This window comes from Homo sapiens, chromosome 6 (assembly GCF_000001405.40).
Source record: "Homo sapiens chromosome 6, GRCh38.p14 Primary Assembly".
Lineage (NCBI taxonomy): Eukaryota > Metazoa > Chordata > Mammalia > Primates > Hominidae > Homo > Homo sapiens.
Window position 1 is genome coordinate 37799408 of NC_000006.12, and position 15913 is coordinate 37815320.

At 45.6% G+C, this 15913-nt stretch overlaps 2 annotated features.

Moving 5' to 3' along the window:
- Nucleotides 7252-7421: an enhancer, noted in NCBI's record as "experimental_91469 CRE fragment used in MPRA reporter constructs". NCBI's record gives its function as "activates a minimal promoter by MPRAs in K562 erythroleukemia cells, with activity observed for the non-introgressed 6:37774520 or rs539039121 variant allele {active_cell/tissue: K562}" and the evidence as "EXISTENCE:reporter gene assay evidence [ECO:0000049][PMID:34662402]".
- Nucleotide 7337: a transcriptional cis regulatory region, noted in NCBI's record as "Neanderthal adaptively introgressed variant 6:37774520 (GRCh37/hg19 assembly coordinates) or rs539039121 in the experimental_91469 CRE". NCBI's record gives its function as "modulates activity of the experimental_91469 enhancer by MPRAs in K562 erythroleukemia cells {active_cell/tissue: K562}" and the evidence as "EXISTENCE:reporter gene assay evidence [ECO:0000049][PMID:34662402]".

Below are 15913 nucleotides of genomic sequence, written 5' to 3' on the forward strand. Positions count from 1 at the left end.
CAGTTTGTTCTCTAAATTGAGAAGGCTAAAGTGAGAGGTGAAAGGACACAGGGGATGGGGACTCGCCTCTGTCCTCCCTCTCCCTGGGCAAATTCATTGTCATTGCCTCTGTCACCAGGACTTTGAACCCTGGGAGATAATGCTCCTCGTGCTTCCTGGCTTTCTCTTGTCCCAGCTCGAGGAAGCAGAATGTGGAAGTTTTCCACCAGCCCTTGCCCTGCCCTGCCCCTTCTGGGCGCGTGGGCAGTTGAATACTAGAAAGATATCGACAAATTCTAATAGCCCACTCAGTCAGAAGTGTTGAGGCCCTACTTCTGTTAGAAAATAGCCTCCTACTTGGAATTTCCTTCTTTCAGAAATCTCCTCTTGGCAAGAAATTTCTTTCTCCTTGGAGAATCTCAATGTATTGAAACCTCCTTCACCTGGGGCATCTCTGCTAATGGAGAATCCCAAAGGAATCTCCTTTCTTAGCTTTTTGGTTCTTGAGGCTGAGCTGGGTACATTGCGGGACTGGAGTGGGAGAGGGTGGAGGAGGCTGCTGGAGGGAAGAGTTCCTGGTGTTTAGTCCAAAGGCTTAGATGGCCATTTATTACTTATGTTAGAACAATGTTGATAGATTTTAGATGCCATCTTGGGGGCAGGCTAGATGAGACAGAGTGGAAAGACGTGCATGTCTTGTAGGATTCTGTCACCCACTCCTCCTATGCACCCTCATTTCCCTACCTTCCCTGCAGGGCTGTGGTTCTCAATCAGAGGCGATTTTGGCACCCTGACATCAATTGGTTTTTTTTTTAGATGGAGTTTTGCTCTTGTTTCCCTGGCTGGAGTGCAATGGCATGATCTTGGCTTGCTGCAACCTTTACCTCCTGGGTTCAAGCGATTCTCCTGCCTCAGCCTCCCGAGTAGCTGGGATTACAGGCTCCTGCCACCACGCCCAGCTACTTTTTTGTATTTTTAGTAGAGATAGGGTTTCACCATGTTGGCCAGGCTGGTCTTGAACTCCTGACCTCAGGTGATCCACCCGGCTCTGCCTCCCAAAGTGCTGAGATTACAGGTGTGAGCCACTGCATCCGGCCTGCCCCTTCTTCAGCCTCAGCGCAAACCTACCTGGACCACCTGATTGCTTGCCACAGATACTCCCATTGCCACTGCCCCAGCCCCCTCAGTGTCCACATTTTTGGAGCTTTAGAACAGGGCAGAAGGACTTTTTCGAGCTACTCAGGAGGCTGAGGCGGGAGAATCGCTTGATCCCGGGAGGCAGAGGTTGCAGTGAGCCGAGATCATGCCATTGCACTCCAGCCTGGGTGAAAAAGTGAGACTCCATTTCAAAAAAAAAAAAAGAAGAAGAAGAAAAAGAAGAGGTGAAGGTGCCACAGCCTCTCACCCCTCCCACTGATGAATGTGGAGAGTGTAGTCTGTCCCTCCAGAGCAGGGAGGATGGAGGGGTGACGGTGTGAGGGGGGCACAAAGCTGGCCACGCTGCTACTGTCAGAGCGTCTCTCTTCACAGCTGATCTCAGGGGCAGCATTACTGAAGCCCATTACAGCCCTAACCAGAGACAAATACAGCAGCATTAATTTAATTTTATTTACATTTCAGAGTCATTTAGAGGGAATAAATTGAACCAAAGTTGATTGAAAGTGTCCTACAGGATGGCCCCTGAGCTTCCTCAGGCTACTGGGCTTTGATAAATGATGGCAGCAGCCTCTGCCCAGAGCACCAGCCCCCCTTGAAGGCAGGAGGGAGAGAAGCCAGGGAGGGGCAGCCCACTCCAGGCAGCCAGCACGGGGGCCCAGCCCCCTCTCCCTTCAGCACCCTCCACCGACTCCTTAAACAATTTGTCCTCTCTCTGCTCCAGTTGTCCTCACAGGCCCAGGACCTCTTCGTCCACCCACACCCGCCAGCCATCCTTTAATTAGATCCAAATAGGACACGCACTAATTGAGCTCTGACCATGTGTTCTGACACTTTGCTAAGTTCTGGGGCTACAGAGATGAACAAGCCAAACTTCATGGACTTTGGAGTCAGGATTCAACTTCCAGCGTCACCAGTTATGAGTTTTGTGATCAGGGCAAGTAATTTAAACTTTCTGGGTCTCAGTTTCTTCATCTCTAAAATGGAACAAAAGCAGGACATAAAAAGTGTGCTATGTTTTAAGAAGCGGATGTGGTTCCTCCTACCTCCTGAGTAGATGTTTCTTTCATTTAGGAAAACACCTTGATGAGTCTTCATAGAACATTTTGGTGAGAAAGAGGACAGACTGTGGGCCCAAGCTGGAAGAGAAGACCAGGCTAAGAGGAACTGAATTGCTTTGCATAGCAAAGGAGCAGGGTAGGAGGCCCAGAAAGGAGAAGAAGAGAGAAAAGCCCAGGGTTCCCAGCTGATAGCACTGACTGGATGCAGACCTCAGGAATGTTGGTTGGAGCTGAATATGGCTGTCCTTGTTTCATGGAGCCTGGACCCCATGGTTCATCCTAGTCCCTCCTTGAACCCATCCACTTTGGCTGCTTTTCTGTCCCAGGTAGGATTTAGAATTTGTGATCCTCACTGGGCCTAGAGTGCAATCACGTGCAATCACGTGCAATCATAGGATCAAGAAGGAACCTAGGAGAGACCCCCTCCAATGACAGAGAATGGCCAATACCTTTGAGTGCCTGCTCTGTGTTCTAAGAACAGGCAACACTCTAACCTATAGAGATAGAAATCAGAATGGTGATAGCTTTTGTGAGGGGCTGGCTTCTTGGGTGCTGGAAATGTTCACTATCTTTTTTTTTTTTTTAGACGGAGTTTTACTCTGTCACTCAGGCTGGAGTGCAGTGGCAGGATCTTGGCTCATGGCAACCTCCACCTCCTGGGTTCAAGCGATTCTCCTGCCTCAGCCTCCTGAGTAGCTGGGATTACAGGCGCCTGCCACCAGGCCCGGCTAATTTTTGTATTTTTTAGTAAAGATGAGATTTCAACATGTTGGCCAGGGTGGTTTCGAACTCCTGACCTCAGGTGATCCACCTGCCTCAACCTCCCAAAGTGCTGGGATTACAGGCATGAGCCACCGCGCCCAGCCGGAAATGTTCACCATCTTGACCTGGGTGGTGGTTATACAGAGGTGTGGTCTCTGTGTGTTTCTGTATATAAGTCAAGCTGTACATTTTAGACGTGCACTTTTTTGTATGTGTTAGGTTGGTGCAAAAGTAATTGCGGTTTTGACATTGCATATAATGGCAAAAACTGCAATTACTTTTGCACTGACCTAATACATTATACTTTAATAAAAGCAAACAAAAATTGGCTGGGCATGGTGGCTCACACCCGTAGTCCCAGTGCTTTGGGAGGCCAAGGTGGAGGATTGCTTGAGGCCAGGAGTTTGAGGCCAGCTTGGCAACATAGCAAGGGCCTGTATCTAAAAAAAAATTAAAAAATTAGCCAGTCATAGTGGTACATGCCAGGAGTCCTAGCTACTCAAGAGGCTAAGGTGGGAGGATCCCCTGAGCTCAGGAGTTTGAGGGAACAGTGAGCCACGCACTTCAGTCTGCAACAAAGCAAGATTTGTCTCTAAAACAACAACGACAGCAAAAACCCAAACAAAAAATAAGGAACAACAGGAATGACTTTATAAAGTTACAGAATGGTGCAACCCTCACCACAATCTTTTGCCCATTTGGCCTCATTTCTTTTCACACCCCCAGTCACTGGTAACCACAAATGTACTTTCTGCCTCTATGGATTTGTCTCTTCTGGACATTTCATACAAACAGAATCATACAATATGTGGTCTTTCACTAAGCATAGTGTTTTTGAGGTTCATTCATGTTCTAACATGTATCTGTGCTTTTTCTCCTTTTTCTTTTTTCTTTTGAGGCAGGGTCTCACTCTGTTGCCCAGGCTGGAGTGCAGTGGCATGATCTCAGCTCATTGAAGACTCCACCTCCTGGGCTCAAGTGATCCTCCTACCTCAGCCTCCCAAGTAGCAGCAACTACAGGTTCGTGCCACCATGCCCAGCTAATTTTTGTATTTTTTGTAGAGATGAGATCTCCCTGTGTTGCCCAGGCTGGTCTTGAACTTCTGGGCTCAAGCGATCTGCCTGCCTCAGCCTGGCAAAATGCTGGGACCACAGGCGTGAGCCATTGCACCCAGACTTTTGTCCTTTTTATTGCTGAATAGTGTTCCAATGTATGGCTATACAATTCACACGTTAATGAATATTTCAGTTTTTTCCACTTTGGGATATTATGAATAACACTGATATGAACACTTGTGTTCAAGTCTTTGTGTAGAATATATTTTCATATCTCTTGGGGGGTAGATACATAGGAGTGGAATTGCTGGCTGGTATAGTAAACTTATGTTTACTCTATCAAGAAACTGCCAAATGATTTTCCAAAGTATCTGTACCATTTTATATTCCTATCATTTTACATTCCACGTGAAGTTTCCTACCATTTTACATTCTAGATGAGGGTTCCAGTTTTTCCATATCTTCACCAAGACCTGTTACTGTATGTCTTTTTGGTAACAGTCATTCCAGTGGATGTGAAGTGATATCTCACTGTAGTTTTGATCTGCATTTCTATAATGGCTAATGATGTTGAACATCTTTTCATGTGCCTAATAGCTATTTATATACCTTGTTTGGTGAATTATCAATTCAAATGTTTTGTCTGTTTTGTTTTGTTTTTTAGGCAAGGTCTCACTCTGTTACCCAGGCTGGAGTGCAGTGGTATGATCACAGTTCATGGTAGGCTTGGCTTCCCAGTTTCAAATGATTCTCCCATCTCAGCTTCCCAAGTAGCTGGGACTACAGGTGCATGCCACCATGCTTGGCTAATTTTTTTGATTTTTAGCAGAGACAATATCTCACTATGTGGTCCTGGCTGATCTCGAAATCCTGAGCTCGAGCAATGCTCTCACTTCAGCCTCCCAAAGTATTGTGATTGCAGGCATGAACAACTGTGCCCGTCCCTTTTGTCCATTTTTAATTGTTGTCTTTTTATTATTGAGTTTCAAGTGTGTGTGTGTGTGTGTGTGTGTGTGTGTGTGTGTGTGTGTGTACTTCTTGGATAAGTTTCTCCCAGTCTCTGGCTTGTCTTTTCATTTTTTGGATGGCATCTTTTGAAGCATGAGTTTTTATGGACTTCTTTTCTTTTTTGCTTATTTATTGATGTATTTATTTAGAGGCAGAGTGTTGCTCTGCTGCCCAGACTGGAGTGCAATAATGCAATCATAGCCCACTGTGGCCTCCATCACTGTGTCAGCTGGACTTTTTAAAAATGAAACCAAAATAAACTGCTGTTGTGCTTAAGCCACTGTTTTTTGGGGTGTCTGTTATAAGCAGAAAATAACTCATGCAAGGCTGTTTTTCATGCACCAGTTCCCGTGGGCCATGCAATATGTACAGTATGGAGCATGAACAAGAAAGTGCAAAATTCTAAGAGGAATATTGGGAAATAAACCTTCTTTGGGTATTTGGCATTTGAGTTTGGAGATGAGTCAGGAAGTTTTCTTAGGCAACTCATCTGTCAGTTGTCTTCAGGTTGCTGATACTCACTCAGTCTGGCCAAACTAGGTCCCTTCAAGTTTTCAAAACAAATTCTATCAGTCTCTGTATTTTTTGGGAAAAAATTGAGGGGTGGATTCTAAACAATTTCATAGGGAAAGAACTCCCACCGCACAGCACACAGCTTCATAAGCCTCTATAAAATTAGACTGCTCTCCCTCAGAGTTCTGAGTGGGCTACCAACCTGGGAAACTGTCCTCACTCCCCTAAGCCTATGTCTTTTCCTGGGTCCCTTTTCTTGGATCTCTCTCAGGGAAACTTTCATTGTATTTATTTATTATTTATTTTATTTTATTTTCATTTTTTCTTTATTGAGATGGAGTCTCACTCTGTCACCCAGGCTGGAGTGCAGTGGTGCGATCTCAGCTCAACTGCAGCCTCTGCTCCCCAGGTTCAAGTGATTCTCCTGCCTCAGCCTCCCAAGTAGCTGGGATTACAGGCGCCCACCACCATGCCCAGCTAATTTTTGTATTTTTAGTAGAGATGGGGTTTCACTATGTTGGCCAGGCTGGTCTCGAACTCCTGACCTCAAATGATCCACCTGCCTCGGCCTCCCAAAGTGCTAGGATTACAGTCGTGAACCACCACGCCCAGCCTACTTATTTATTTTGGAGACAGGGTCTCACTTTGTCACCCAGGCTGGAGTGCATGGCAACATCATGACTCACTGCAGCCTTGACCTACTAGGCTCAAGGGATCCTCCCACCTCAGCCTCCTGAGTAGGTGGGACCACAACTGGAACCAGAGGTATGCACCACACTCAGCTAATTCTTTATTTTATTCATTAATTTTTTTGTAGAGATGAGGACTCACTATATTGCCCAGGCTGGTCTTGAACTCCTGGGCTCAGGCAATTCTCACGCCTTAGCCTCCCAAAGTGCTGGGATTACAGGTGTGAGCCACTGCACCCAGCCCAGGGATTTTACTTGTAGAGCTTATCAGTTAGTCCCAGCTGCTGCCACCAACCTTGTGCCAGCCTGCCCGTCACAGACCAGGTCCCACCCCATGGGTAATAAATCACTTCGTTCTGGCCACGCAGCTATCCAGTGTGGGTGAGGCATCTTCCACCTGCCAGCCTTTCTGATATTTGAGGAAGCTCTCAGATTCCAGAGCATCTTTTCTTCCACTTTCCAAACACATCTTTACTTGAATGCCAGCCATGTACCATGCTCTGTGCCAGGTGTTTTAACTATATAGTGTCATTTAGTCCTCAAAGAGCCTTTACTACCAGTGACTGCATTGCACAAGGAAGGTAACCAAGGTTCTGAGGGGTTGAATAGTTCTCCCTACATCCCACAGGGAGTAGAGGATCCAGCTGGGGTGTCCATGCTGCTATCTTCTCTTGGCCACTGCATATTGACCACATCTGGTGGCCCAGTCTTTACACTTAACTCTCCTTGTCACTTCTCATTCTCCTTGTAAGCTCCCCTGGAACACTCAGCTCAGAGTCCACTGACCTCAAGACTTTCTACTCCACAGCCTAGAAACTTCCTGAGGCTCAGACTATGTCCCCGTGATTAGAAGAGAAGCCCCATAAAGGTAGGCCCAGTGGTGCTTTCTTTCTCTAAATTCCTCTCAGCACCTGGCAAGGTTTTTCTTTTCATTTTGAACTCCTACTGAGATGAAACATTCATACAGAAAAGTGTACGAACCATACCTACACAGCTCAATGAATTCACACAAACTTAATGCACCCATGTAACTAGCACCAGGTCAAGAAATACAATATTACCGACTGGATGCAGAATTGCTGGAGCCCAGGAGTTCAAGCCTGAGCAACATAGTGAGATCTCATCTCTAAAAGAAATTTTAAAATTAGCCTGACATAGTAGTCCATGCCTGTGGTCCCAGCTACTCGGGAGGCTGAGGTAGGAGGATCACTTGAGCTAGGGCATTCAAGGCTGCAGTGAGCCGTGATTGCACCATTGCACTCCCGCCTGGGTGACAGAAAATATTACCAATTACTAGCCCCCCACAAGTCCCTCCAGTGTCCCCTTCCAGTCATTCCCTGCCCCTTGCAAGGCTAACCATTCTCCTAACTCTTGATATCATAGATTAGTTCTGCCTGTTTTTGAACTTGATATAAATGAAATCGTGTAGTAGGTATTCTTTTCTGTCTGGCTTCTTTTGCTCAACATTAATTTTATGCAAATCACTCCTATTGTTGTGTGTAGCTGTAGTTTGTTGGTTCATTCTCATTGAGAAGATTTAGGAGAGGATGAAAATTAAATATCATGTACTGTGGAATAAGAGACATGGTCTTGAAACCGGGCTCTGCCACTTACGAATTGAGTGTTGGACAGCTCATTTAGCCTCACAAACTTTGGTTTCTCATCTGTAGCATAAAGAAGATAAAATTTCTTTTGAGTGGCACTTGTAAGATTTATATTAACTACAATAACCAAAGTGTATAAAGCACCTACTAAGTTACTCCATGTGGAAAGCATTTAAAAAACAGAAGCATTATTAATTATTAAGGACTTATTTGCTCAATGATCTCTGAGAAGGAAATTGAACGCAATAGTTTTGAATTCTCAATGTTCATGTTTCCCCCGTATGTGCGTGCGCATGCACATATATAAACACATCTAGCTTCACACCTGTGTACTCACACCTGTGTGTACACACTCCTCCTGTACATGTGTATACACGCACACCCTCCCACCAGCATGAGCAGTATGTGGATTTTTTCTTCCAGCAGCCCTTTCAAGAACATACACCAGATGGGATTGGGTCTGCTACATGACTGAGCAGCCCCCACATCAGAAAGTCATCATCATTGAATCCATCATGTGGTGCAGCCTTGGCAAGGGCACAGCTCCTCGTCCTGCCCAATGGGCCGTGGAGGAATGCCTCCTCCTCCAGAGCAGAGAGCAGATATGGGCAGGCAGTTGCCAGGCAGTTGAGCCGGGAGAACAGATGGCAGCTGCACAGCCTCCTTCTAGCCCAGTTTCCTGGCTGCCGGGGAAGGAGTTGCAGGCGGCAAGGATCCTGCAGAAACCGCCCTCCCTATAACAGGCCATCTTGCCCTCTATCCTCTTACTGGGCTTTGGAGGTCCCAATCCTGCCCTGGTTCACCACCTGTGTGGCTTACCAAGCTGTGCAACTTGGGGCAGGATGAATATCCTGAGTGCTGGTACTAGAACTCTAATTCTCTAATCTCAGTTATAACCTCAAGTCTGCTCCTTTACTCCTAATCAGAAGACAACTAGCCTTACCTGATTAATCATGACCTTAGGAAGAAACCCCTGGATAATTTTAGCAAATATCACATCTCTCAAATCTACACACACACATTGTCTCCAGGTATAGGAGACACTGTAGATGCCAGTCTGGTCCGTATCCCTCAGCCCTTACCACTTCAGTGATCCCACCAAATTCCAATGGCCCGTCTCTGCATGTCTTTGCCTGAGGGTTTTCTCTGAAACCAGAGAAGCCTGTTTTGCCTGCAAAGGCAGGCTGAAGTGCAATGATCTATGTCAACTATTGATGGAAGTGGGTATATAAAACTCAGTGTGCCACCTCCCCCGACTCCTCAGATGGGATGGCTTTAATGTGAGGTTTTGCACAGTCACTCCCAATGATAACTGGCTCGATGATACACCCTTTATTGGCCACCTTGCCATCCCCAGCTGTGTTCTCTGTACCCCTCAATCCTTATCTCAGGCTCAGCTTCTGGGGAAACCCAAACGAACACACCAATCTTTTTTTTTTTTTTTGAGACTGAGTCTCGCTCTGTTGCCCAGGCTGGAGTGCAGTGGCGCGATCTTGGCTCACCGCAAGCTCTGCCTCCCAGGTTCATGCCACTCTCCTGCCTCAGCCTGCCGAGTAGCTGGGACTATAGGCACCTGCCACCACGCCCGGCTAAGTTTTCTTAGTACAGGTGGGGTTTCACCGTGTTAGCCAGGATGGTCTTGATCTCCTGACCTCGTGATCCACCCACCTGGGCCCCCCAAAGTGCTAGGATTACAGGCGTGAGCCACCGCGCCTGGCAATGAATACACCAGTCTTAACCTTTCGACTTCATCCTGTACATCTGAGCTTCTTTCCAGGTCATAAGCCTTTCCTTGAGCCACTAATTCTGTCTGGCATTCCAAATGTCTACTCCTGACTCTCAAGCCCAACCTCCCCAACTCTGGCTCCTTCCCTAATTTCACCCTAATAATGAATTCTAACCGTTTTATCCTAAAACTCTCTTTTTCACAAACAGCCTTGGTTCTTCTCCTCGAGTCAGTTCTTGGAGTCCATCCCAGCCACACATGGTGCATTCACCCCTAGAAATGATCTGTACAAACAAGCAAGGGACTTGATAAAAAACTTCAGGCCAGTCTCTGGGATCTCAGAGTTACATGGCAGCCTGGCTGTGGCTTCTGGCTGCTTTTTTAAAACCTCTAGACAAGAACGGGGAAGGCTGGGGCACGTGTCCTGGATGGTTCACCCCAGGGAGCTCAGGGCTGGCATCAAGCCTGATGGGCTGGGCCAATTCATGAAGTTCTTGGCCATTTATTGGTCTCTAAGCTGAGCCCGCTTGAGATGAGGTGGGATGGGGCAGGCTGTGGGGGCAAGATTTCTCTCAGCTGCCTGCTCCCCAATCCCTGCAATATCCTGTCTTTCCCCCTTTAATTTTCTCCTTTTCTTTTTTGCCTTTAAGCAACAAATAGAGGACTTAAAAAAGAGTGCCCATGTAGGCAATTCAAACATTAGCCAAGGTTAATTCACATATTTCAACTGCATTTTAGATATCTTGAAAATCAAAATTCCGAAACCATCATTCTCAGCAAACTATCGCAAGGACAAAAAACCAAACACCTCATGTTCTCACTCATAGGTGGGAATTGAACAATGAGAACACATGGACACAGGAAGGGGAACATCACACACTGGGGACTATTCTGGGGTGGGGGGAGGAGGGAGGGATAGCATTAGGTGATATACCTAATGTAAATGACGAATTAATGGGTGCAGCACACCAACATGGCACATGTATACATATGTAACAAACCTGCACGTTGTGCACATGTACCCTAAAACTTAAAGTATAATAATAATAATAATAATAATAATAAAGAAAATCAAAATTCCTAGATACAATTAAGAGACAAATGACAGAGAAAGAATTTGCAGTGCATATGACAATGAGTTAATATTCTTAAAACCAACATTAATGGCTGGGCGCAGTGGCTCATGCCTGTAATCCCAGCACTTTGGGAGGCCGAGGTGGGCGGATCACTTGAGGTCAGGAGTTCAAGACCAGCCTGGCCAACATGGTGAAACCCGTCTCTACAAAAAGTAAAAAAGTTAGCCAGGTGTGGTGGCAGGCGCCTGTAATCCCAGCTACTGAGGAGGCTGAGGCAGGAGAATCGCTTGAACCCAGGAGGCGGAGGTTGCAGTGAGCCAAGATCGTGCCATTGCACTCCAGCCTGGGCGATAAGAGCAAAACTCTGTCTCAAAAAATAAAATAAAATAAAATAAAATAAAATAAAATAAAATAAAATAAACCAACATTAATATCTTAAGCTAAATAAGAAAAAAAAAAGCTCCTGTAGAAAAACGGACAAAGGACATAAACAGATAATGCCATATAAAAGTAAATTCAAATTCAAATGGTATATTTATATACATTAAAAAACCCAGACCTCATTAATAACTCCCAAAATGCAAATTAAAACATCTATTATGTGCCATTTTTTACCTTTGCATTGGCAATGATTAAAGAGAATGATGATATCTCCAGGCTACGGAGGTATGGGGAAATCTGCTTTCTCATTCACTATTGGAGGGAGTGTAAATTGGTATGAGCTTTCTGGAGGGAAGTTTGGCCATATACAATGAACGTTAAGTGGCATTGAAATTCTTTTTTTTTTTTTTTTTTGAGACGGAGTCTTGCTCTGTCACCCAGGCTGGAGTGCAGTGGTGCAATCTCGGCTCACTGCCACCTCCACCTCCCGAGTTCAAGCGATTCTCCTGCCTCAGCCTCCCGGATAGCTGGGACTATGGGAATGTGCCACCATTCTTGGCTAATTTTTTGTATTTTTGGTACAGACAGAGTTTCACTGTGTTAGCCAGGATGGTCTCCATCTCCTGACCTCATGATCCGCCCACCTCGGCCTCCCAAAGTGCTGGGATTACAGGCATGAGCCACTGCGCCCAACCAGCCTTCCATTTTTTTTTGAGATGGAGTTTCGCTCTTGTTGCCCAGGCTGGAGTGCAATGACCTGATCTCGCTTCACCACAACCTCCACCTCCTGTGTTCAAGCAATTCTCCTGTCTCAGCCTCCCAAGTAGCTGGGATTTACAGGCACTTGCCACCATGCCTAGCTAATTTTTACATTTTTAGTAGAGACGGGGTTTCACCATGTTGGCTAGGCTGATCTCGAACTCCTGACCTCAGATGATCTGCCCGTCTTGGCCTCCCAAAGTGCTGGGATTACAGGCATGAAACACCGTGCCCGGCCTGAAATTCTTTTCCTAAAAAATTTATCTAAGACATTAATAGGACAAATGGACAAAGATGTTCATTGTAAAATTGTTTATAAAAGTGGAAAGCTCACGCCTGTAATCCCAGCACTTTGGGAGGCTGAGGCGGTCGTATCACGAGGTCGGGAGATCGAGACTATCCTGGCTAACACAGTGAAACCTCGTCTGTATGAAAAATACAAAAAATTAGCTGGGCATGGTGGCGGGCACCTGTAGTCCCAGCTACTCGGGAGGCTGAGGCAGGAGAATGGTGTGAACCCGTGAGGCAGAGCTTGCTGTGAGCCAAGATCGTGCCACTGCACTTCAGCTTGGGCGACAGAGCAAGACTTGTCTCAAAAAAAAAAAAAAAAAAAAACAGTGTGTGGCATTCCCCTGTCCCCCAATTCTCTCTTGTTCTTGCTTTCACCATGTAAAGTACCTGATCTTGCTTCACTTTCTGCCATAAGTAAAAGCCCCTTGAGGTCTCCCCAGAAGCTGAGCAGATGCTGATGCTATGCTTCCTATGCAGGCTGCAGAACCATGAGCCAATTAAATATCTTTTCTTTTATGAATTACCTGGTCTCGGGCATTTCTTTATAGCAATGCAACAACGGCCTAATACAGTGCTCAGTAAGTGTCTTTTGAATGAATAAATGAAAGCAAATGAATCAATGAGAGAAATGAATCAAGAGGAGATTCTTTAAATAATTCACCCATACAATAGTCAGTAGCCATTAAAAAGAAACAAATAATAATAACAATAGCACGTGTTTATGGAGCTTTTTTTTTTTTTTTTTTTTTTTTTTGAGACAGAGTCTCCCTCTGTGGCCCAGGCTGGAGTGCAGTGGTGCAATCTCAGCTCACTGCAACCTCTGCCTCCCAGGTTCAGGCGATTCTCCTGCTTCAGCCTCCCAAGTAGCTGGGATTACAGGTGTGCGCCACCATGCCTGGCTAATTTTTGTATTTTTAGTAGAGACAGGGTTTCACCACGTTGGCCAGGCTGGTCTAGAAATCCTGACCTCAAGTGATCTGCCTGCCTAGGCCTCCCAAAGTGCTGGGATTACAGGTGTGAGCCACCATGCCCGGCCTGAGCTTGTACTACACACTACATACTACGCTAAGATTTCCTCACAGATTATATACTTTAATCATCACAATAAACCTATGAAATAGGTAGATACTACTAGGGATGGTCAGGATTTTCTCATGGAACATAATGAAACTCAATTTAAATTGTGCAGGTAAAAGAAGGAATTTATTGGCCCATGTAACTGAAAAGTCCAGAGGGTAGCTCTGGCGTCAGACTTAGTTGGATTGAAGGACTTAGACAACGTTGTGATGATTTAGTCTCTCTCTCTCCAACTCTCTTCTTTCCCTTCTGTGGGCTCGATTCCCCAGGCAGCCTCACTACAGATGGTAGGTCCTTCAGCAGCTCCAGGCTTACATGGTCTTTGGGACACTTGATCTCAGAAGACAAAGCTCACAAGTCACCCTAGGGAGGGCCCTGCCTTTCCCTGAGCCAATCCCAATTCCTGTGTCCAGAAGGATAGGGCTCCCTGACGAAACCAGTGAGTGTGTGCACCCCTGAAGAGCAGGGAGAAGTAGGCAGATAAAAACCACAGCTCATTACAAATGCCTCCTTTACAGATGAGGAAACTAAGACACAGACCAGCTAAGTAACTTCCCTCAAGTCTCTGAGCTAGTAGGTGGCAGAGCCCACATTTGAACTTAGGCAGCCTGACTTTTGAACTTAGGCAGCCTGAGTTTGGAGCCCATGATTTTAGTGTGATAGTTAATGTTACATGTCAACTTGACTGGGCTGCACAGTACCCAGATATTTGGTTAAATATTATTATGGGTGCATCTTTGAGGTTGAGATTAACATTTGCTACAGTCTGAATACTTGTGTCCCCCAACACACATAGTCCCCAGTTTATATGTTGAACTCCTAATCCCCATGGTGATGGCATTAGGAGGTACAGCCCTTTAGAAGATGATTAGATAATAAAGGCACAGTCCTCATGAATGGCATTAGTGTCCAAGGGAGCTCATTTGCCCCTTCTACCATATGAAGACATGGCAAGAAAGTACCATCTATGAACCAGAAAGTGGGCTCTCATCAGATCAAATCTGCCAGTGGCTTGATCTTGGACTTCCCAACCTCCAAAACTGTGAGGAATAAATTCTTGTTGTTCATAAGCTGCCCACTTTATGGTTTTTTTTTTTTTTTTTTTTTTTTTGAGATGGAGTCTCACTCTGTCGCCCAGGCTGGAGTGCAGTGGCGCAATCTTGGCTCACTGCAAGCTCCGCCTCCTGGGTTCACGCCATTCTCCTGCCTCAGCCTCCCGAGTAGCTGGGACCACAGGCGCCTGCCACCACGCTAGGCTAATTTTTTGTATTTTTAGTAGAGACGGGGTTTCACTGTGTTAGCCAGGATGGTCTTGATCTCCTGACCTCGTGATCTGCCCACCTCAGCCTCCCAAAGTGCTGGGATTACAGGCGTGAGCCACCGCGCCTGGCCCTTATGGTATTTTGTTATAGCAGTTTGAATGAATTAAAACAAAATGGTAGACTGAGTAAAGTAGATTGCCCTCCCCAAGATGGGCAGGCCTATTGAAGGCCTGAACAGAAGAAAAGGCTAAGCAAGAAAGAATTTGCTGTCTGCCTGAAAGCCTTTGAGTTGGGACATCCATCTTCTCCTGCTTCCGAATCAGACTAGAACTTACACCATGGATTCTCCTGGTTCCCAGGCCTTTACACTGCAAATCTTGGGACTTCTCTGCCTCCATAATTGTGTAAACCAATTCCTTATAATAAATCTCATATATAATTTCCCATTGGTTCTGTTTCTTTAGAGAACCCTAACTAAAAGACTATACTGCAGAACTATATATGGAAGATGTACGTGACTTATTTCAAAGTTAAAAAAAAATCAGCTAGAGTATACTATGTGTTACATGATTCCATTTATATGACCATACACAAATGAAAAGCCTAGACGGCTATATACCAACTGTTAGCAAAGGGTATCTCTAGAGGACGATGGTATTAGGGAGGACTTCTGCTTTCTCATTGTTTGAATTTCTTTTTCCCCACAAAGGTCAAGTATTTCTAGGAAAAACAATTATTTCCATTCTTGAAAATAAATTTAAAAGTCAGCAAAATCAAATTTCACACCAAGATGGGTGTGAGCAGCAGGGAAATCAGCAATTGCTTCATGAACGTGAGGAACATGGGACGTGAAATGGCAGCATTTTCTCCCCTCCTCCCTTTCTCCCCGTCGCACTCTTCATTTTATTTAATTCATTTTTAGTTTCCTGAGACAGGCTGGAGATGGTATGCTTGGTTGCCCTTCTTTTCCCTTGGCTCTGAGAGTTTATCCATGCCAACTGGACCATAAGTGACTAAAAGAATCAACTGCACATCAGAAAACTCAAGGGCCAGAAGGAACCTTAGAGAGGATCTCGTTCAATGCCTTTTGAAAAAAAATTTCTCATCCCCTTGGAAAGCCAAATTCAAATGAAAGAGGAGAGCAAAACTCAGAATTCTTGCTCTCTGAGAACATAGCGTAAAAGCCACTCGTCTAATCTAACCATATTGTTTTGCAGAGGGGTCACTCGTCTAATCTAACCATATTGTTTTGCAGAGGGGTCTCAGGTCTTCCACTGTAGGCCAACTGTACCTCACATTCCTGAGTCTACATAGGTGACTTGGAGTGCATGTATTCTGGACTTTCAGAGGCTTAGTAGTCCCTGAATTAGGCAACAAGAAATGTGACTGGGCAGGGTCTCTGCCTCCTGCTCTGGTCACAGATGCCCCACTTTCTCTTTCCTGGCAGCCCAAGGCCTTGGATCCAACCTGGATTATTGAAATTGGCTCTCATTCTCTCCAGAGGTCCAGGATGT